The 22,966-nt window shown below is 38.2% G+C and overlaps 1 long non-coding RNA gene across 1 annotated transcript in view; it reads left to right on the top strand.

Annotated features, from left to right (window-relative positions):
- The window catches only part of LOC105372922 (uncharacterized), a 132,858-nt gene that overhangs the window by 105,153 nt on the left and 4,739 nt on the right, over positions 1-22,966 (top strand). Inside the window, exons 5-7 of the long non-coding RNA XR_001738466.2 lie at positions 1,553-1,711; positions 21,019-21,105; positions 22,032-22,225. This is a non-coding gene — a long non-coding RNA (uncharacterized LOC105372922). The remainder of the gene's footprint in view (positions 1-1,552; positions 1,712-21,018; positions 21,106-22,031; positions 22,226-22,966) is intronic.

The raw sequence follows: 22,966 nt of genomic DNA, 5'->3' as shown, positions 1-22,966 counted from the left end.
CCAAGTAGCTGGGACTATAGGCACGTGCCACTATGCTCAGCTAATTTTTGTATTTTTTGGCAGAGATAGATTTAAACAATTTCATAAATGTCAACCCTCCATTTTGGAGGGTTTTACCATGTTGGCCAGGCTGCTCTCAAACTCCTGACCTCAAGTGCTCCACCCACCTAGCCCCCACAGGCTGGGATCACAGGCATGAGCCACCGCATACCACCACAGCCACAAAAATTTATAAAGGCAAGAAGCAAAATGCAAGACAACTGGGTGTCACTATTATCAGATGTTGCTAGATAAATATGTGCTCGAATAATTGAGAGCTTAAATTTGTCCCAGCTTTAAATATCTTCAGTGTTTAAATCTGTATGATCTTTTCGCTGAGAAAACTTTCTCGGTTATATCTCAGTAAAGCATAGTGGTTTCAAATTGTGTAAAAAAGTGTGTAAAATTGTGTAAAAAAGTATCATTTTAATTTTGTAAGCTCGAAAGAAGTATAAATGATTGATTCGACAAAGAGCATTTTGTATTTTTTATGGTAGAAATTAATACTCTCTTTAGAGTATTATTTTAGGATGATATACATAAAACTAAGGCACTTAAAAAGTAGCTTTTACAAACATATCTAATTTTATAAAAATAAATTAAATATGAAAATTTTTGCTAACTACTGACTCAGAACTAAAAAGTTATTTTTTCTGTTTCATAGGTATTATTTGTATAAATGTACATACAGTCACAGTGTTTATTTTTATATGCATATTCCAAGTTATTTATATATGTTTTACTTCTAAATAATTCTACATATAGCCAAAAGTAATATTTTTAAAGAATGAAATCAAACATCCCTTCAAAGTGTACATATAACACTTAGATGCTGCAAATTCCTAGGTGACCTCACTATAAAAGCCATGGCTGTGCCGCTGATACCATTAATATGGGATATATGCTTAACAGAGATTATTACAACATAAAATTCTGAGGTAGCAGGATATGAAAGAAGAAGTTTCTGTTGCTATTATTTCAAGCTGATTTTTGACTTTCAAGTTAAATGTTTGCAAAAGCTCACTTCATGCCTTTTGTTGAAATTTTTGGGGGGAGAGAAGCATGCTTAGTACATAGAAGCTTAGAGCTAACTTCTGTTCCACAAAGGTGTGAGCATTTGGATACACCTATGGGGCCTACAGCTCCTTTGGGAAATGACTCAAATGGATCCCATGATGTTAAATACCATCTACACATTGATGACTCTCAAATTTATATCTCCTCCTTGGATATCTCTCCTGAATTCCAAACTCAGTATATCAAACTGTCTACCAGATATCTCCACTTGGAAATTCATATTTAAAACAATAACAAGTTCAAAAATGAACTTATTTTTTGAATGCATGATTTTGACTTCTAGACTTGTTCTTCCTACAGTCTTCCCACATGATAGTTACAGCAAATCCATCTTTCTAGTTGATCAAACCCCAGACCTCAAATCCTCCTTGATTCTCCCTCCCCCTCACATTCTACATTCATTCTTTGATGAAATCCTGTTGTCTTTTACTTCCAGATTTGGAATCCAGTCACTCTTCACCAACTCCAGGGCTCCCCTCTTCTCATCCTGGATTGTGAGAGGCTTCTGGTTGGTTCCCCTCCATGATTCTCCCGAACCTGAGCCATACACTATTCTCACACAGCAAGCAGATTGATGTCAAAAAACTAAATAAAGGTGAGTAAGCTCATGCTGCTCCTCCACTTGGAACCCTCCAGTAGCACTCTTCACACCAAGTAAAGTCAAGTCCTTATGTCTGTTTAGGATTCTCTCAAGACCCACCTCCCTGCTCCTCTGATTGCATTTCCCACTGCTCTCCCTCTGGTCCCCTGCACCAGCCAGCCCTCCTCTCCCTCTCGGATTGTACCAAGCACATTTTTCCCTCTGGGCCTCAGGGCCTTTCTTTGGCTTCTTCCATATAGCCATCCTCTCATCTCCTTCAAGACTTTGCTCAAATATGACCTTCTCTGAGAGGCCCTTCTCTCTATTCCTCTTCTCTGATTTACTTTTCTCTGTGGCACTTACCACAATCTAGTATAACTTAGTTATTTTTGTTTACTATCTTCCTCCACTTGACTGTAAGCTCCCAAATGCAGGTGTTCCATCTCTTCACTGCTCTATCCCCAGAGCCTGCCAGTGCCTGGAATACAGTAGTACTCAATAAATAATTATCGAATGACTAAATACATTTTCTTAAGCCAGTGTAAAACTGAGACCTGACAACTTCCTTACTCTCTACTCCTTTGAAAAATATTTTTTAAATTCCCTTTTTTAATGTACAAAAAGTAGAAATTTATTCTTTTTGCTGTGCAGTTTTATGCATTTCCTAAATGTACATAAAGCCATGTAACCCCTACTTCAGTCAAGATTACAATTCCATCACCCTGGAAGGAACCCCTCATGCTATCTCTTTCAAGTCTAATTCTCTTCTCACCTGTAAGCCCTGGAAACTCGGTCTGCTCTTCATTCTACAGTTTTGCCTTTTCCAGAATGCCATATATATGCAACCATACAGTATGTAGTTTTTAGGTCTGGCTTCTTTTACTTAGTATAATGCATTTGAGATTCTTCCATATTGTTACGTATATTAATCATTCATTCTGTTTTATTGTTGTGTAATATTCCAGTATATGGATATACCAGTTGGAATTTTAGATATTTCCAGGAGACTATGAATAAAAGGAATATACTGTCAAGTTGTATATCACAAAAGCCATTCTTCACAAGAACACATACACTTTTGCAGAGATTATAGAACTAAATTTGTTTGTTTGTTTTTTACCTAAGTACGGAAAAAGATCTGAAGAAAATACACTGAAGTTATTAATAGTGGTTGTCATTAATTAGTAACAACTTTTCCTTTTTCTGTTCTTATTTGTCTGATTTGACATATGCTCTTTACAATAGAAAAACTTTAAAAAGATTATACATTTATATAGAAGTTAAAATATCCAGTGGATATGATTTTAGGAAATAAAAATTCCTCATTTCTTTTTGATTTAAATCATAACAGATAGTTACACTTTTATTGGAGGATGAGAAAAGCACCAGTTTCAGCAAAAAGTTTACTTAATCCAAAGGAGGAAAATAGATGCTAATTTTAAGGTTATAATTGACAATTTTATCAGTAACAATTTTATACCTTCAATCAAGAAGTCTGCTGCCTCTTTAAGAATGAGGGTCTCCAAACAGTTTATGAAGTAATAGATCATATATAAATAGGTTGTTTGCTCTCGGTACAGATGCCATCATTACTAACTACTTTCAGGCTGTTTGAGAGCTAAAGAATTCTGTAATGCATCATTGAACATTTAGTTGCTTCATAGCAGATGGTTTCAGGGGTCCATCTGCTCACAGCAATGTTTTCAACAAGCCCCCTTCACCTTCACCAAAAGGTTCTTAAGTATTAGAGTATTCATTCTCCAGTACAGGTGCATTTCCTTGGCTCCCTTTATTAGGGAAAGGGGCCACTGTCTTTTTTTAACCCCAGAAAGGAGATGCTGGCCTGTGTAAGTATAAGAAGGCTTACCATAGGTATCAGGGAACCTAGTAGAAGAGTTGCTTGATTTCAAGAATTTGTAAACTTATTCAAGTGTGTGTGTGTGTGTGTGTGTGTGTGTGTGTGTGTGTGTGAGATTGCTTTTCTTGGCTGCCTAGATTAAAAATAAGATATTAGGCAGTCACTTTGTTCTGTTACTCCTGCCCCTGATATGTGCAGAAGCAGTGTCAGCTTCTTTAGGGTTTGCTGGGAAAAATAATACATTCTCTCTACCTTTGAGGACATGGGGAAGTCCCTCAGGCAAGGTCGGGATGAACACACGAAATACATGAAGGAGCTCCAACTCAAACGATATGGATAAGAGCAGACTGAATATAATATCTGAATACTGAGGGGATCTAGGAGTAAGTGTTATGGGGACACAGCTAGTTTTATCCTAGAAATCCCAGATGCCCCGTTACCTATGTGATCACTGAAATTTGCAGTCAGACTGCTGAAGAAACAGAATAGTGGCATGCAATGAATAAGACATGGGCGGCAGCTGCTCTCTAAATATGTAGAGTTTTCTTTTCCAAACTGGAAAATAATAAGGAAAGACAAAGTTGGAGAAGAAGAAGCACAGAACATTCAGAGGAGGACTTTTCACAGATCACAAGAAACTAACAGCCAGTTTGCTTGTATTGCGTTAATGGATACCTCGACCCAAATACATCGAATGTGTGGATTCAACACTGTGAACTGTGTAAACCCCTTTCAGGTACTGAATAATTAGAAATGTCACTTTATCACCAATTTGTCAGCAAAGGGAATAGTGAAGAGACTGCTGTTTGAGAGAATAGTGTAAACGCTGATGATTGCTCCTCTCCGTGGCTGCAGAGAGTACAGAGAAGAGATTATTCTGTTTTCTGTTCAAGTGGCTGTATTTTAATTTGCCTTTCTAAAAGGAACAAATGGATTCAGACTAGGATATTGAAGAAAATTACTGTAGCTTTTAGAGTCATATTTCAGAGAGCTGTTTGAAGGCAATTTAATTATCTATTATCTTCTCTTAATATAAAAAAAAGGAAAAAATGAAAATCTCTGGCTTACTGGAATGAAAGGCACTAGTTCTGCAATTGTCATTGGTGGTGGCTCTAACCTTATATTAGTCCATTCATTTTTAATAGGCATTTATTAAATACCTACCAGTTGCACAGAATTGAACAAGGGTTATAATAGGGACCCTACTTCCAAGCTTCAGGATCTTCCTTGAGTCTAAGCTGAAACACCTTTGCTAAATGGTTTGTGTCAAAGGTGAATGATTTATTACTAACCACAAGTCTGAAGGAGTGGCGTCTGTTAGAAGCTGGAGATGTCAATGTCATCTTGATTATCCTGTCAGGGATATCCACTGAAATTGACTTGACCATCACTCTTACTTTTGCCGTCAAAGCAGAAATACTACTACTGACATGTTTTCTGTGTTTGTGAATGCTTTAGAACTCATTTAATTAAATCCAGTTTTCTTTTTTAGACATCAATTGAATACTTGTGAATGTTCTGCCCTATTAGCGCTATGAGAAACCTAAATTAAGTAAAAAGCTTGCTCTGTGTTCTCAAGTAGTTTATAATCTAGTTAGGGAAAGAAGATGGACATAACACTATAAGAAACAATTTAAGAAACTGTAGGAAGCATTTAAGGAGTGTACCACTAAACATTGAGGACATGATAACCAGAGAAAAAGGAACAGAGAGAGGGGTCACTGAGAAAGCCATTCATCTTCTTGTACTTCATGGACTCAGCCAAACATTTGACTTTTTAGAGAAACAAGAGGAGACAAAGAGGCTTGAGTTAACATTAAGGAATTTTAAAGGTGAAAGTGGCTAAAGGGCTGTGTGTTTAGACAAAGCACAGCCTGAGTAAATACACAAATGGAGTGGAATTAAGGAATAGTTGGGCATGGAGTTGGTGGGCACCTAGCTGAGGCTAAAGGGCTGTTTGGAAGAGGGGAAAAAGGAAGGTGGCTTGAAACCTTCTTAAGATCTACTCTCTTAGATAAGTTGGAACCTGAGGTTGATCAGCATCTGGGGAGATGTGCATATGGAAGCTGAACTCTATTGGACCCATGTCATGTGCAACTCAACATAGCGCAACTCAACATAGCACAGCTGTTGGTACATTCAAGACTGGCTGAGATTCAGACCTATTGAGTTGCAACCAGAGGTCTAGAAGCTCTAGAAGCTCTGATTATAATGAATATTTATTACACTGTCTTATAGCTTAAATGAAGATCACCAACTGGTCAGGATCTGACATTATACATCAGAAAATCGACTTGGTGTTTGAAGATACGAATATTACTTTAAACCTGAAAGGAGGACAACTTCTTATTAGAAAGCATTTTAATGAAAAGGATCATCAGAATGAGCAGAAGTATTTCAGAGCAGGGGGGGTCCTTACAGTTTTCAAATCAGAGAATAAAGATACCAGCAGACCGGGCATGGTGGCTCAGGCCTGTAATCCTAGCACTTCAGGAGGCTGAGGTGGGTGGATCACCCGAGGTCAGGAATTTGATACCAGCCTGGCCAACATGGTGAAACTCCGTCTCTATTAAAAATACAAAAATTAGCCGGGTGTTGTGGCGCATGCCTGTAATCCCAGCTATTGGAGAGGCTGAGGCAGGAGAATCGCTTGGACCTGGGAGGCAGAGGTTGCAGTGAGCCAAGATTGCACCACTGCACTCCAACCTGGGCGACAGAGGGAGACTGCACCTCAAAAAAAAAAAAAAAAAAAAAAGATGTCAGCAAACTAATTTAATTCTCTTAAAAGGTTTGAATTCACTAAAAACAAGTTATAATTAGAAGAGTCATTGATTCCTAAATGTGAATTTTAATATGCTCAGACATTCATCCAGTGATTTTAAGGGATATTGTGAAGTTGCGTGATCTCAAAAAACCCCAACTTTGAATTGCTTTATCTATCTACTTATCTACCTATTGCCTATAACACTGTAGGGTAGACAAGCTGGGAAGGTCATGTCAGGAAACAATGCCAAAGCAATGCTATTTTATTTATTTATTTATTTATTTATTTATTTATTTATTTATTTATTTATTTTGCAAGCAATGTGGCCCTGTTTTCACATAAAATCTTGCAGGAACCCATTATAACCATTAAAATCGAAGAAGCTTTTACTGAAGCAAAGGAGAGCTCAGCCTCCAGGCAGTTGATGCCTTGCCCTTGCATCTGCCCAGGACCCCTAGTGCCAATCACTAAACTGTTCTTCTTTTTCTTTTTTTTTTTTTCTGTGTGTTTTTATGTAACTCCTTTTAAAATTTTTAAATGACAAATTAGAATTGTATATATTTATTGTGTACCACAAGATGTTTTGTGTATACACTGTGGAATATCTAAATCAAGCTAACATATGCATTACCCCACATACATATAATTTTTTGTGGTGAGAACCCTTAAAATCTACTCTCAGCAATTTTTAAATATACAATACATTGTTAATTATAGTCACCATGTTGTACTCTAGATCTCTTGAATTTATTCCTCATGTCTAACTTGAAGCTTTGTACTCTTTGACCAACATCACCCCCACCACCACCCACAGCCTCTGATAACCAACATTCTACTCTCTACTTGTTAGTTGGATTCTTTTAGATTCCATATATAAGTGAGATCATGTGGTATTTGTCTTTCTGTGCCCACTCAGAAAGTTCCTACATGGCACCAATTTCTCATTTGCAATCAATTTCTTTAATGTGCAGAGGAAAATGGCATAGATAGTGTCACATTTGGATATTGACCAACTTCTATCTTCCTGTGTAGACATATCTGTATTTTCTCTTTACTTACCTGTGCAATAAATGAATGTCTTGTAAGCATCTCTAATAAAATATTCTGTTGTATACTATCCTTAGCATACAGTTTATTTGCATAGTAATTAGGAGATAATATGTCAAAATAACTTTGTTTTAAATACTCTATTTTCTTTTTCTTTTTTATTTTTTTGAGGCAGGGTCTTACTCTGTCGCCCATGCTGCATGGAGTGCAGTGGCACTGTCTCTGCTCACTGCAGCCTGAATTTCCTGGGCTCAAGTGATCCTCTCTCCTCAGCTTCCCAAGTAGCTGTGAATACAGGCAGGTATCACCATGCCCAGCTAATTTTTTTTATTGTTTTCTTGTAGAGACAAAGTTTCACCATGTTGCCCAGGCTGGTCTCAAACTCCTGGGCTCAAGTGATTCTCCTGCCTCGGGAGAATCCCAAAATGCTGGGATTACAGGTGTGAGCCATTGCGCCTGGCCTGTTTTAAGCACTATAAATAATATATTTCATTCACAAATTTGTGTATAATGACCCAGACATTTGAATTGCTGGGCTAAATTTAAAAAAAAAATCATGAAAAACATTATTTTTCTTGTAATTGTAAGTAGAGACAGAAGCTATTTAATTAAAGGCCATTGTCATTAAATCTTACTATAAGGCAAGCATATTTGGCTTCCTAGGGCTGTTGTAACACCAACTGAGTTGCTTAAACAATAGAAATGTATTCTCTTACAGTTTGGAAGGCTAGAAGTTTGAGGTCAAGGCCCTCAGCCTTGATTCATTCTGAGGACTGGGAGGGAAAATTTGTTCCATGTCTCTCTCTCCTGACTTCTAGCGGTTTGTTGGCAACCTTTGGCATTCATTGGCTTATAGAAGCATCACCCTGATCTTTACCTTAATCTTCACATGGTGTTTTCCTCCTTGCACATTCGTCGCTGTGTTCAAATTTCCCCTTTTTAAATAAGGACACCAGTCATATTAGGTTATATCCCATCCTAATAATCTCATTTTAACTTGACTACATCTGCAAAGACCCTGTTTCCAAATAAGGTCACATTCACAGGTACTTGAGTTTAGTACTTTAACATCTTGTGTGGGGGACACAATTCAACTCGTAAGAGCAAGTGTTATCTTATTTGCTGTTCTTTATAAGAATCACTGTGTGTGTGTCTCTCTCTGCCAAAGAGGCAAAGGCAGACACACAGGGTCATATCTGGTGCAACTTCCAGTGCCTGGAAGCTGTGGTAATTGCATGCACAGTTAGAGATACACTTATGTTTCTAGACTGGGAAGCAGCCTTAAAAAAAAAAAACAAACTTTAAGGAACAATATAATTGGCCAGGAAGCAAGCTAATATTAGTGATTCAATAAAAATGAAATACTTTCAGGGACTTTGTGAATGGCCACGTAAATTCTACCAAATCTCATGGGCCATTTACATCTACAATTATGGTATAGCATAAAGGTTATTATTTGTTGTAAAATCTCTATCACTTAAATGGAAAACTTAATCAGTCATTAGTGTTATGGATTTTCTACTGCTGAAGTTTTGTCTGTCCAGATACCATGGAGGATGGTGGTCTTCTCCTCTTTTGCCAACATTTGTACTCCTCTCTAATTGCCCTCCCCTAGCCTTGGATCCATTGATTACTGAGAGTTGGCCATGAGTTTGAAATCGGGAATACAATGATAAGTAAGATAAAACTCAACCACTTTATCTTAATCGTCTTTTTACCTGTGTGTCCCTGTCTTAAAAAGGTACAAACAGGTAAACAAATGATTAAGATAATGTAGTTGAGTTTTGCATAGACTGTCGGCCTAACTGGAGAGTATCTAGACATTACTGGATCACAGAGTACATAATAAATACTTTCCAGGAGCACAGCACCATGTGACTGAGGTGGTATAAAGAGGCATAATTTATTATGCTGGACTCAAGACACATACAGACTTGTGAGGTAAAAATTCCATGGGATAAGACATTATCCCTTATTGAATAATTAGGTCACTATACGCAAGTTATTTAATGTCTCTGAGCCTTCCTTCATTCCTCATTTGTGTAATGGGTATGATTTTGCTTTCCTCATCCCATTATGAGGATGATGTGGCATAGCATTCCTCAGTGCCTACCTGGGAGCCTGCTAGATTGCAAGTACTCAAAAGTGTTTTAATTTGATTAGGGGGATGAGAACAGTCCATATTGAAAGATAATGACTAGCCAGAGGTAGGGTGTATTTGAATAAAAAATGAGTGATCTTTAACTGCTATAGGATTCAGAGGAGGGAGATCACTAGGGTTTCAGTGATAAGTGGTGACCACCCAGAGGATCTGTATAGCTAGCTAGAAAGAAGACAGAACGGCAGTGCTTACTTATCTAGAACATTCAATTAACAATTAACAAGGATGCCCCATGGCACTTATTATGTTGGCTAAGAGACAATGAGTTATGAAGCATTGATAGAAATGAACCCTAGAATGTGAGAATTTAAAATTCTTATTGAAAAGATAGGCTATGTATTGCCACATAGAATTTTAATTATTTTTCACAAAATGAAGCAAAGAGAAACCCTTGGAACCAAGGTAAACCTACTGTCCTGAAAAAAATCTGTCTTTTAACCAACCCCAAATCTGTGAATTAGTCTTAATTTCAGAACTATCTAAGTTTAGCTTTCTTAAACATAAGATTTCTTCAAACGAATATCTCCAAAACAATACAAATTTGTATTTACAAAGCCATGAAACATGTGGAATGTAAACTACTCCATAAATATTTTATGCAATCAAAACCAAGATCAAGTTTGTTCACCAGCAAGTTTACTACCAGTGGAGTTTCCACTCCTTTTTTTCTCCAGGATATGCTGCTTGAAAGGCAGTACAGCCTCCAGCCCCCAAAGAAAGGAGTCATTCCTGGCCAGGTGCGGTCGCTCACACCTGTAATCCCAGCACTTTGTGCGGCTGAGGTGGGCGTATCATGAGGTCAGGAGATCAAGACCATCCTGGCCAACATGCTGAAACCCCATCTCTACTAAAGACACAAAAATTAGCCAGGTGTGGTGGTGCGCACCTGTAGTCCCAGCTACTTGGTAGGCTGAGGCAGGAGAATCACTTGAACCCGGGAGGCAGTGGTTGCAGTGGGCTGAGATCATGTCACTGCACTCCAGCCTGGTGACAGAGCAAGACTCTGTCTAAAAAAAAAAAAAAGAAAAGAAAAAGAAAGCAGTCATTCCTGTCTTTGCAGAGCTTAAGACTACATATGGAGAGCTGGTGACTTGATACTAAATATTTCTGCTTTTAAGGTGTGGTCAGAGGAAATGTAAAAAAAAAGAGTAATACAGGTGTTCACATTATAATTTATATTGTGAGACAGTAATTTCAATCTCCATTCTCAGTCTCCATGCTGAGGTTCTGTAACTTTGTATAGCTGCCCTTATAGACACAAAACCAAATTAATAGTTTTTAAAAAAAATGGCCAGATAATTATCCCAACATATACTTACTTAAACTATTCAGGTAATTATCACATTTCTACTCATTTTATTGTTGTTGCAGTGGTGGTAGTAGAGGTAACTTTTATGATATAGTTTGCTGATAATATAGGAAAAAGAAAATTACAGAGTGAAGGTAACAGGTTTTCACAATCAGTGCAAATACCTAAGTAATTTCTATTAAAAACCATCACTTTGGTCTCAATTACTAATGCAGTCACAAACTGTGAGGACTTGATCTAAAAATCAGGCTCAGGCAACTCTTTGTAGATAGTTTTATTTGTGCTCTATAGAAGGAAACTTAATTATCTTTATGCTTCATTGATAATTTTGTACTTCTTTCAAATAAATTGACTGAAAATTTGAAGGTTATTAGTGAAAAACTATGCCCTTTAAATAAAAAGCATTACTACCAACAAACGACTGACCTACATTCACAAAATGACTAAATTACTGTGATTAAATCTGAGGCAATCTAATCATTTTGTTACAATAGGAAATTGAGCTTCTTCCCACATTTATTTATGGGTACTAGCTGCTCATTTTAGCTTTTGGCTCAGTTTTACTCTCTAAAATTAGCAGTATTTGTTGTTTTAAAATAAGCAACAAGAAAGATATGCACAGCTGAATTAAAACAGTTTCCTCGTTCAGAACAGCTTGATTCAGTCAGATGGGTTCATTTCAAAGTACGAAAGCAGAAATCAGGAACCGACATTGACGTAGGGTGGTGATGTTTCCATATTTGGAATATTTTATTTGGGGTGTGGAGTCACTTGGTTTCTACAATTAAGCTTTGGGTCACTCTATAACTTTTTTCAGAGGCACGATAAAATGAACCCACCGCTGGACGCCAAATTAGGATTTCGCTCACAAAACCTTCTCCCTCGTCGCTGTTCCATTTCGTTTATATATAGCGAATGTCCAATAAGCTCTGACTGATGCCGCTTTCCTTCTTAACATTTCCAGTCTCCCAGCATTATTTCAGATGGAATCAGAGTCATTTACTTTTCAGTGTGCGGTGCCCCTGGTGCCAGACCAGCTGGAAAGGGTGACACTGCTGAGAAGGCTGCTAATCTCAATGGCCCTTGGGTCTTTCCTCTAAAAGACACAGGAAGTAAACAAGCCAAGTGCTATATATAAAAGGGTGGGATGTCATTGTCATTGCTGCGCAAAAGCACTCATGGTGTTGCGTGTCCAACACTAGGATTTTTTGAGATTATGTACAAGTTGAAAAAGCACCAGTGGCAAGAACAGTTGCCACTCTGAATCACAATTCCTTTTTTAAAATACTATGGGAGAAGGGCTAATAAAGCTTTCAATTCTTCTCTGCCAATGCGTGCCGACAGAGGTCTAAGATGCGACAATACAAAATGTTCCATCTTAATTATTGCCTAACTATAGAGACAGGTGAGTTCAGGAACAGGGAAAAGTCACTTTGGAAAAGACGGAGGCCCAGCTTCCTTTCCAAAAGCTGCGACAAAAATGAATTATCTTCTTGATGAGAAATACAACCCTTAAATAGGCAAAGTAAATAGAAAGCTTGTACTTGATCTAATAAAACCAAGTTGCTCTGAAATTCTCTGGATACCACTGATCTTCGGAAGTGTCATCTTTCTTTTAATGACTGTTTCTATGAAATTAAGCAGTTTTCATTTTTAAAAGGATGAAAACAAATAGCTATATTCTTAAAAAGTAATTAAATAGCTCTTGTAGTAACTTAGTTGTTCTAGGAGCTGCACCAGATCTTGTTTCAAATGAAACAAAAATAGATAAATTCTGACTTCTTCACCACATAAAGTATGTAAGTATTATTGTCTTGGCACTGTCACTTTTTTTCCCTAAAAATCACTTGTAATAAAATGTAAAGATTTTCGTCTAAGTGACACCTATCGTACTAAAAACAATATAAGATTCTGTATTTTTGCCTTCCTAGTATATTCACAAATTATCAAAAATGAAACATTTTAAATGAATTTAAGGTAAAAAATTATAGTTTATAAGGATAATGAATTAAATTTGGTTTGAGATTATAAACTTTAAAGGGCTAATATTGACTTTACAAGATATTTATTTTTAAAAATTATGAAAAATATTAACAAAAATTTTAATCTTTCAACATGTTTTTTAAATTAAAAAATATTTCTTTCTTGGAGAATTATATGATCATACCCAGAATTTCTGACTACTTTGACAAGAGAAGCACGTTAAATTTTATTTTTACCATAGCTAGTTGAAATTTTTTGTTATTATTTTGTGATCATTAAATTATTATTTTGTGATAATATAATGAGATATTATAGGACAGAATTACCAATCTCATAAAATCATTTCCATTTCAACTGGAAATAACATAATTTTGATTTTAAGAAGATTTTAAAAATATTTTATAATTAATTTTTTTACGGTGCTTTATGCTTATTTTCAGAGTAGAATTTCTAGTGAGAAGAGGACTATAATCTTAACTGAACTACTATTTCAGTTGCTTAAAATATTCAATAAGTTCCCTTTAAGAAAGAAAAATTATTTAAGGTTTTAGACACTAAAATTGTTGAAGTGCTCTTTTTCTCTTGAATGAATATATTTAAGGTTTCAGATCTTTGTAGTAGTAAAAAGATGATTTATCGCCAAGAAACAAACCATGGAAGCCAATGTTGGGGGTGGCAGAGGGAGAGGTGGAGGACTGAGGGAGCTCTGTTTTCATTTCTTTTTATTACCTGTGAAATGCTGTTCATCGTTAGTAGCCATCACTCTAGGTCTTAAATAGTTTGGCCCAACAGCATTTGAAACCCTATAACCTCAATTTTTAAGTGGTGTGCTTTCCTGGCCTAGTTGGGCTGTGACATTATTTCCTCTGCCTTCTGAGTTAAGAAAATTACTTTTAGCAGGTCATAGTAAGGGCAGGATTATTACATAATTGGAAGAAGCATGTTCCATTTTTCAGGAACCAGACAGTATTACTGGGGTATTGCGTGTATGTGTTTTCTTTCTTTTTCCACCATTTACACAAGTGCCCTGTGTTCCTTTTGGATAAAGACAAGACTTCTCAGCACCCATTTCACCTCCAATTTAATGAAGTTGTTAAAGTAGCAAGACTGACAGGTTAATTATCCTTTATAAAAGGGGGACAAATTGAACTGTGTCTTTCCATCATTTTTTGATATATCAAGAAGCTCCTGAGGTGCCCAGATGCGGCTCTGGTGAATAGAACAGCTAATCCACTCTGCAATTCTTTGCTGACCCCGCTCTCCCCACCGGGGCCTCACTATATTGCAGTTGGTTTTTGTTTCACATTCAACAGATTCCACTTTATTATAAATTCAGAAGGATTTTTTTCTCCCTCTCTCCATATGTTGGCTGACAGCTCCCCTGAAATAACTGATGGCTAAATTTAAACTCTGATGAAAATTAACCCAAGTGTTAAATGCAAACAGGAGCTGCTTGGAAGAGAAAAGAGTTATCATGGTAGATGCCAAACAGTGGAAAATCTGTGTAAATTAATGGATCCTCGCTGATGACAAGCCGTCAGGCAGTTTGATGGCTCTTGCTAGCGCTTTAGTCCCACTGAAGCTGGCCAGAGGGCAGAATGGACAAGTCCTGCTTTTCAAAAAGACCGCGGGAAGCTTGACAGTAACGCTAACTAGATCATCGAAAGTTCATGGTCAAATAAGAGATTTTTTCTTTTTTTTTTTTTTTTTTTTTTGCAGAGCTTTGCACTAACCAGAGTTTACAGACAGCAGAGCCATGAATGAGATATCAAATTGCAAGTGCAGCAAAATGATCAAAAAAAGAGAAGGAAGCCAGTGAGACATGATTTAAAAATCAAACAGACAAATTTGCCACTGATTTTAAAGTTAATATTGAGAAGCTGGTTCTTAATAATTAAAAATGATAAGCATTTGACTTGAAAGATTTTCCACTTAGAAAGTAATACTTCGCTCGCCCTAGGAATTTTTCAAGAAATTCCATTTGCACTTCTCATTTTTTTAGATTAAAATATGTAATTTTAATTACATATTTAAATTCATTGAAAGGAAATGGAAAACAAATCAAATATAGCTGTTTCCTATTATGATATATATGTGACAGTCATAAGACTCTAAGAAAAAAGTTCAACCACTCATTCAGTCATTCATTTTTTCTTCATGAATGAGGCAATCGTCTGCTTCTCTAAAAATATAACATTAATAATGTGCTATTATAACTTAATATTAGTAGGATAAAATGAATAGGGCATTGAATCCTGAAAAAGCAAAATTGCTTTCAGTCCGGGCTCAATCTCTTAACAGTCTCATGATCTTGAACAAGTGAGTATCAGTTTATTCATTTGTACAATGGGAGTAATAGTAATAAAATCAGGTGGGATTCTGAAGGTGAAAGCTAACCTTTACCAAATGAGCTAAAGGAAGCTTGCAAAACCAAAGACAAAAACTTTCAGACACTAAAGAAGTCTCCTGAGCATCGGACAGTGGAAAGAATATGTGATATCAAGTCACAAAAGTTCTGTCACTCTAATCTCTGCTGCTGATAAGCTGCATTTTCTTGCTCAGTAACAAAAAGGGATATTTACATTTTTTTCAAGATTATTGTGAGCATTGAGTGTGATAATATCCGTGAATATGGCTTCTGTGTAAGCTGTCATGCTCTATGTAACTATTAGTTCTTATTGTGTTGCCTCCCCTTCCTTCACCTGTGTAAATCCTGCCCATCAGATGAAGGTAGACCTCAAAGCACACCTTTCTCACCTCCAGGCACTCCAGCCTCCTTTATTTGGTGTGCTTTTCTTCAGCAGAGCTTAGCAGCTTGGGAATAAAAGCAGAGAATTTAAAAGATAAAAGTTTTGAAGAGTCAGCACATCAGAGAGACAATGAAGTGTGGTGGCAAGTACAAATTTAAGTTCCCAAAGCTGCTATGTGACAAGGTATGTATTTTTTTCCTATGACTAAATTCAACTGGTATCTTGAGCCCTCTGTTTGTTTTTCATGGTAGGAAACTTAATCTGATAATTCCAGGTAAATTTGATCAAATTCACTCATAGATCAGTCATAGTAGCAAACTAAGTCTAACTTAGGCAAATTCAGGATTCTTTGGTCCTCCTCTCTCTGGCTCCTAGGGATTTCATAGTGTCATGGCAGTTCTCCCGTGGCAGTATCTGGTCAACAGTTGGGATCTTCTGCCCATTGTTGTACTCCACTGAGATGTAACTCTTAGCATCCATTTTTCTGGTATGTCATCTTCATGAGACTTCTGTTGAGAGATAATAACTGATCTCCACAGGCTGGCCTATACTGTTTCTTCTTTTGCGGCTTCTCTGCAGACTGGTTGCAAATGCCTCTGCAGGTCTACCAGTTAGCTCAGCTACCTTTCACAGTTCCTTCTGAGACTAATAAGAGCATACAGAGTATTAAATGTTCTTTTTGCTATTCTGGAGTTGCTGGAGACTCCACCCTCTCACTACTCCCTAGAAATGCTTCACCCATCACTATTGTCCTGGTCCCTATGCCATTCTGGCTGCCAGGCACCTCTGCAAGGCTTGCTCCATCCCAGAACTCTAGACAGAAATTGGGTGCTTATCCTGTGCCTTCAGATTCTGAAATATTTGTGAAGTTATCCCTACCACTCCCAGGACACACTGACATCTCCTTTTTTCTCTTTTCCCACTCTCCTTCTCTTTGCTCTCCAACTGGAATTTTTTTTTTTTTTGGAATGGGGAGAAAGGAGATTAGTGAGAAAACAACAAATTCTGAAACATCACATATATTTTCCAGTCTTTTTTTTTGAGATGGAGTTTCACTGTTGATGCCCAGGCTGGAGTGCAATGGTGTGATCTCAGCTCACTGTAACCTCTGCCTCTTGGGTTCAAGCAATTCTCCTGCCTCAGCCTCCCGAGTAGCTGGGATTACAGGCACCTGCCACCATGTCTGGCTATTTTTTGCATTTTTTAAAATAAAGACAGGCTTTCTCCAAGTTGGCCAGGCTGCTCTTGAACTCCTGACCTCAGGTGATCCGCCTGCCTCAACTTCCCAAAGTACTGGGAATACAGGCGTGAGCCACCGTGCCTGGCTTTTCCAGTCTTTTTTATCTGATACATGGATTGAAGCTTTTGATGAAAAAAAGATATGAATTGTTGTCTTCATCCATCAACGCTTTCTAATGCAATGGTTGAACACTTGTCTGGCTGCTCAAATTGGAGGTCACAGGCAAGCCCATCAATTAAATACTTGAAGTTTTGGTGTTTCTGTATATGCAATAGGCAAGAGGGCAAGGCCATAGGTGAGAGAGTGGTTGAATGAAGGATGAGAAGAACTTGGTTAGAGAGAGGAAGAAGTAAAGACAAATTGGGGGGGAGGTGGAGTTATTGAGATATGGAGCTCTCTGTAAGAGTCATGTAGACTAAATGGAGTAAGGAAGGAAGAACACCAAATGGATTAGAGGTTGTATTGAGAGAGAGGTGAATTTTCATTAGTATTTCTAAGATTGAATCATTCTGAGTATTTCATGCAAAGTAGATTCCCAAAATGGAGGCCAAGGAATTGAGAAGACCAAAAATATGAAATTTGAATGTTAGAAAATTGGTAATCTTCTGGATTCTGAGCTTGCCTTATTCATTACCAAACTCCTATGGCACCAGTTCTATCAACACATACTTTTGAAACTTATTTCTTGTGTAGTTAGTGGCATTTCGTGTGAGTTAGGGAGTTAGAGTCCTGTTCCTTGGGGATAGAAACTATGCCTCTTCTTCTTCTTCAGAGAACAGAATAAGGGATATATCTTGCCAGGCAGAAAAGGAAAAGGCTATAAATATTGCATTCCAAGATGCAACAGGAAACATTGTATTTGGATGATGCACTACTTTAAGGCATTTATTTTCCTACTGTATTAACAAATTTAGAAGGTTCACTCTGCTACCATCCTTATTTTACTACCTGCATTTCCAAAATGCCTCACCTCCCAATACAGCTGAAATGTATTCATAAGTTTGCCATTGATTTAATCAAAGTTTACTGCTTGCCAAATCATGTAATATATTGTAGAACTTGAGAAAAGTATTTTGAATTAATGGCTTTGTCTGATTATATGTCCGTTTCTCAGTTCAAATGGAGTAACAGAATTAAGAGTTGATTAAAGAAAAAAACACATTATTAGCCGTTTTACTTATGTGGTTATTCACCTGTCAGGAAATATTATGGAGAGAATCTATTGTACAAAGCGAGCTCTACTTAAGACAATTTTTATATATGTGAAATATTTGCCATCTCTTATTGTACTCTGTAATTTGCAAGCAGTTTTGTGAGATCTGATCATCTCTCATATTGGGAGAGTTACAAAGCCATTTGTTTTTTATGTAATGAATTGGTGGATGGGCAAGCCTAAAACGTATGTCCACATATGTCCATTCTTTCATTCAGATGCTCTCAAAACAAGAGGCTCCTGATTATGTCAAGGGCATTTCCTTATTCTGCAAAATGGCCAGAAATCCAAATGTTTATTTTCTTAAAGTGCTTATCTTCACTTCGGAGTCCCACCTGGGATTAGAAGAGCCAAACATACTAATATCTGATGTATTCTACATCCAAGGAGGGATCCGAAGGCCTGGGAGGCAGGAGGGCTATGGGAACTCCGGTCAGCAATTCCCGCAGCTGGGCCAGGTGCCGGAAAGGCCCCGCGAGCCGGGCGGGCGTGATGGAAAGCCGTTGACATCTGACGGCCCTGCCAGTGGCCTCTGCCCAGAGAACAGGGAGGGGTGCTCATCCTGGCGAACCCATCTCCACATCACAGCTAGCACTAATTGGTCCTCTCGCTGGCTGTCACGGCGGGGAGGCCTGAGATTGGCATGCGTCTGTGCCGCCCGCCTGGGCCGAGCGCGCCCAGGGCCTGGGGTCCCGCCGGCCGCGGGCACACGGAGGGGTCGCGGAGCGCAGCGGAGCCGCGGCTGACTCAGCGCGCTCCGGAGCAGCAAGTGAAGGCGAGAACGGAGCCCTTCTGTGAGGCTGGCACCCAGAGCTGGTTATTTTTAAAACCACAGCAATGATTCATTGGAAAATGTAGAAATCTGCATCACCTATATTTTTTGGTAAAAAGCGTCTTTTTGTTATTGTCTTTTAAAGAGGCATGTTCTCTTTGTCTCAAGCTCAAAAGTTGGCGAGTTCAGACTTTCAGAAACCTTACAAACCCTCTTACTCTCAGGAACCTTGCAAACCCTCTTATCTGGTTAGAGCATGCATTATAAATTTCAAGTCGTATGTTCATTTCGGTTTTTCATGTGACCTCCATATATTGAGTGACATCAAAATGTAAGCTCTTAATGTGAACTCCTATGTCTGTCTTACACAAGATTCGGGATCTGATATAGATTCCCATCTCCTTCTGATGAGGACTAAGTCTAAGTCATGTGCTTTAAATGCTCGCTAGAGCCCATGGGTTGGCTGGTAATGTGATTCTAAGGTTGCCAAGGGGTCATGAATTCTGATGTTGTTTTTGCCTCAAGTGCATGGGCATTTTCTGATGACCTTAGATCATGTAAACATCCTTGTGCCCTTCCCACCTTGTGCACTTCAGTGCACACTTGCACACACATCACCCAGGGCCACAAATATGAGACAGAAACATACCTTTAATCAGTCACACTATAGTCCTTTCCTAAAGGCTCCATCCCATTCATTTAATTAATAAGATGATAGTTAAATAAAGTAAGAGGTGGTCACATAGTGAAATACTATGCAACCATTTTAAAAAGATTTATTAGTGTTGTATTTATTCACATCAATATAAAGTCCATGGTGTATTAGTAAGTTATTTTTTAAAGTATATAGTATAAACTATTTTGTAACAAAAACCTTTTTAAAAGGTCATATTATATATATTTTTGTATACAAAAAAAAAATCTGGGACGACTTGCCCCATGAGTATGGGTTATTTTTTCACGGTTTGCATTAATTGTCCCACTTGTTGGTTGCAGAATTCTCCTTTCCTAGGCTCACGTAGGGATGACTGCCCTCCTCAACCCCAGTCAGGAAAACATACACTTTGGCCTTGCTAGTCAGAGTATTCAGACAAGTTGGAGGTTTAACACAAGATCAAAGATGGGCTGTTCAGAGATTTCTCCGTATTTTGTGGGGAGTTATTAGAGGAGAAGCTCAATTTCCACTGGGATTGTTCCTCTAGAGGTGTGCCCATTTGTGGTCCTTGGCAGCTACTGTGTCCCCTGCAGCAAGACAGCTGGTTAGGAATGCTGAGAGTAGACCCTGGATGGCAAGGGATTTGCCTCTGGATCCAGCCATGCCTGAAGCAAGATCCAACCCTTGACTATTTCAGTTACATTATCTTTTTACTCAAGTTAGATTATGTAAACTACTTAATAGGTAACTTGTGTTCTATTCTCTATTCTCTATACCTCTTTATTTTCTAAATCTTTTGGATTTAGCAAAATTTAGCATTGAGTATGTGTACATTTATAACCAATATGTACATATGTACATACCTTCATAAACTATTTTAAAAGCTACATAAAATATTATTTTCTGAAGGTTTTACTATGTTCCAACAATAGACATATCTAATTCTCACAACAATCCTTTGAATTAAGTGTTATTAACCCCACTTTATAGATAAGGAAACTGAGACTTGGACAGGTTAAATATTCTAGCCAATACTCCTACTACACTGTTAGTAGGTGGTGAAATCCCTATGCAAACTCAGATTCTAAAGCCTATAACTATTATTCTTTACTGTGTTAGATTAATTGAAAGGAGAAATCAAGCCTGATTCTCATATGAAAAAGTAAGCATTCTGTTTTGTGTGGCAATCATATCTGTGTGCATTTATCTATATAGCTAGAGACATAGATGATATATATCATGCACATTTGTAAATGAATATATTAATATATATGTTTTTTGGACAGGTGATGATTTTCCCAAACCTTGCTGTGTCTCCTCAGTAAACTCCTGCCAATCCTACATCAATAAGTGCTCTTCAACCGTTCCTATTCCATTTGTTTTTCTTGTAAATATTTCCTCTGATCTATTCAGTTATTTGTAGATTGACCCTATGTTCTACTTTCTAAGGCTGTCCTGGCTTATGCCTATTGTCCTAGTATACTTATATTGACACTGATTTTTATACTCAGCAGTTGGGACAACAAGTGACATAGTTGCTGTAGTTACCTGTTCACATTTATTCCTCCAGGGTGGCTTCCTGGAAGAATGATACTGGAGTTGAATTTGAGATGTTCCTTCTCTGTACCCCACAACACCCTGCACAGCTTCCCTCATGGTGAGTCTGATTCTGTAATCACCCAGTTCTTCTCTGTCTCACCTCTAGACTTTGTGTCCAACAAGGACAAGGGCTATAGTTTCAGGTGTTTATTTTTTTCTGTGTTTATCTCTTGGACCTAGCATAGTGCCTCACACATACATGCCGCAGTGATTTTTTTGTTCACTTCTTTGCCTGTTTCCTGGACCGTGTATCCACAGTCAGCCCTGTGGGGAAATGCCGTTTTATTCATCATTGTACCACAGTGCCTGGAATGGCCCCTGCAATGTCAGGTTCTCAATATCTGTTGAGAATATGTTGAATATGTTATTAAAGAATGAGATTTTAAAATCAAAATCTCTGTTCTATCTATGAGCATACCTTTATTTTCTCCATTACTAAGCTTTTTGAGGAAGAGCTTGACTTCTGTATCTGACTCAGTGTTGCAGACCTCACAGTGCCTAGCACTGTATCTTGCCCACAGTCAGTAGGTAACATAAAAGTTGGAAAAAATGACGCAAGTCAAGTCCTGGCTCTACTAATTACTACTTGCATGACTACTGGAAAAGGCAGTCATGTGCACCCCATCTTTCGACCCCTGCATGGTTGCATAAGGATGTACCTTGGGCTGGCACATTTCCTTGCAAAGAGATAAGGAGTCCTCCCAACCTGAGCTGGGCATATCTCTTTGTTTGGGCATACCTTTCCCTGTTCAGACCTCGATGTGCACATTGTTGTTCTACTTAAGTGTGTGTGTCCTATGGCACTCAGTCAACTCCACTGCTCTATCTGTTCCCGGCAGGGAGGGAAGAGTTCTTTGCCTGCAGCATGAGAGAGGTATGTGCAGACCATCTCCCTACATCAGCCAGAGCAAGACTCACTGGCACTGTGGACTGATGCTCCCTATTGAAGCTAATCTTGCTCTGTTTATTTTCCATGTGTTAAAGCATCGCTCCATCAGTGTCTGCATGAGTCATGTCTTCCTTGGTGACCCTGCTTCCTGCAAACCCTGCAGCAGGTTGACATTCTGGGACTGCTGCTCCTGGTGGTAAGCATTGTTAAGCTTTCTGCTCTCCACCGTGCATTGGGACTCCTCACCCGGAGGTGGTAACAGGAGTCACTTGTTTGACAGTGACCTTCGGTAAGTTGCTTCCCTTCCATCCTCAGTTTATTCATCTTTAAAATGAGAAGATATATTCATGTCATCGATGATAATATTAATAGCTAACACTTTAAAATTCTTTATGTGTTATTATTTCTATCCTACAGATTAGAAAATGGAGGCACAGAGTGGTTGAGTTAGCCAGCATCACTTAGCAGGGAAGTGAGAGAGTGTGTGCACCTGGCATGCAGTTATTGCTTAACAAACAGCTGAGTCACTGTGGTGGTGACTATTGATGTCATTATTCTTGTTATTATTATTGTTGTTAAAATGGGCCTAGTAAAATCATATGCAGATAACATCACTACTGCATGCTCCTAATTCGAAGTCTGCATCACCTTGGGCTGGAGACAGAAGCAGAGACTTATTGTCTAAGCATTCAGGGGCTACTAGGATGCAGGAGGTGCCCATGGCATCCTTTCAAATTCCTTGCTATTCCAGTGTAGGCTAGTGTACATATAATTTGGCCAAAACTGTGCTTCTGCAAGTCCCACCTCCCTAGAGCTTCACAAGGGAACTCTAGGATTGTCCCTCCTTCAAGAGACTCTAGAAGAAAACCCATCCAATGAAGTGATCACTAGATCCCAGAGCTCTAGGGGTTTCGTAGATTCTTGGGGCTCCTTTCTTGGGGCTCCTTCAGAGGCTCCTTTGGGTGAGAAGAATGGGGAAAATGTGGGCATTTGTAGAATCTTAGGACTGACTTAACAAAGTACAACAAAC

This window comes from Homo sapiens, chromosome 1 (genome assembly GCF_000001405.40).
Source record: "Homo sapiens chromosome 1, GRCh38.p14 Primary Assembly".
Lineage (NCBI taxonomy): Eukaryota > Metazoa > Chordata > Mammalia > Primates > Hominidae > Homo > Homo sapiens.
This window is presented reverse-complemented; position numbering and strand designations above follow the sequence as displayed.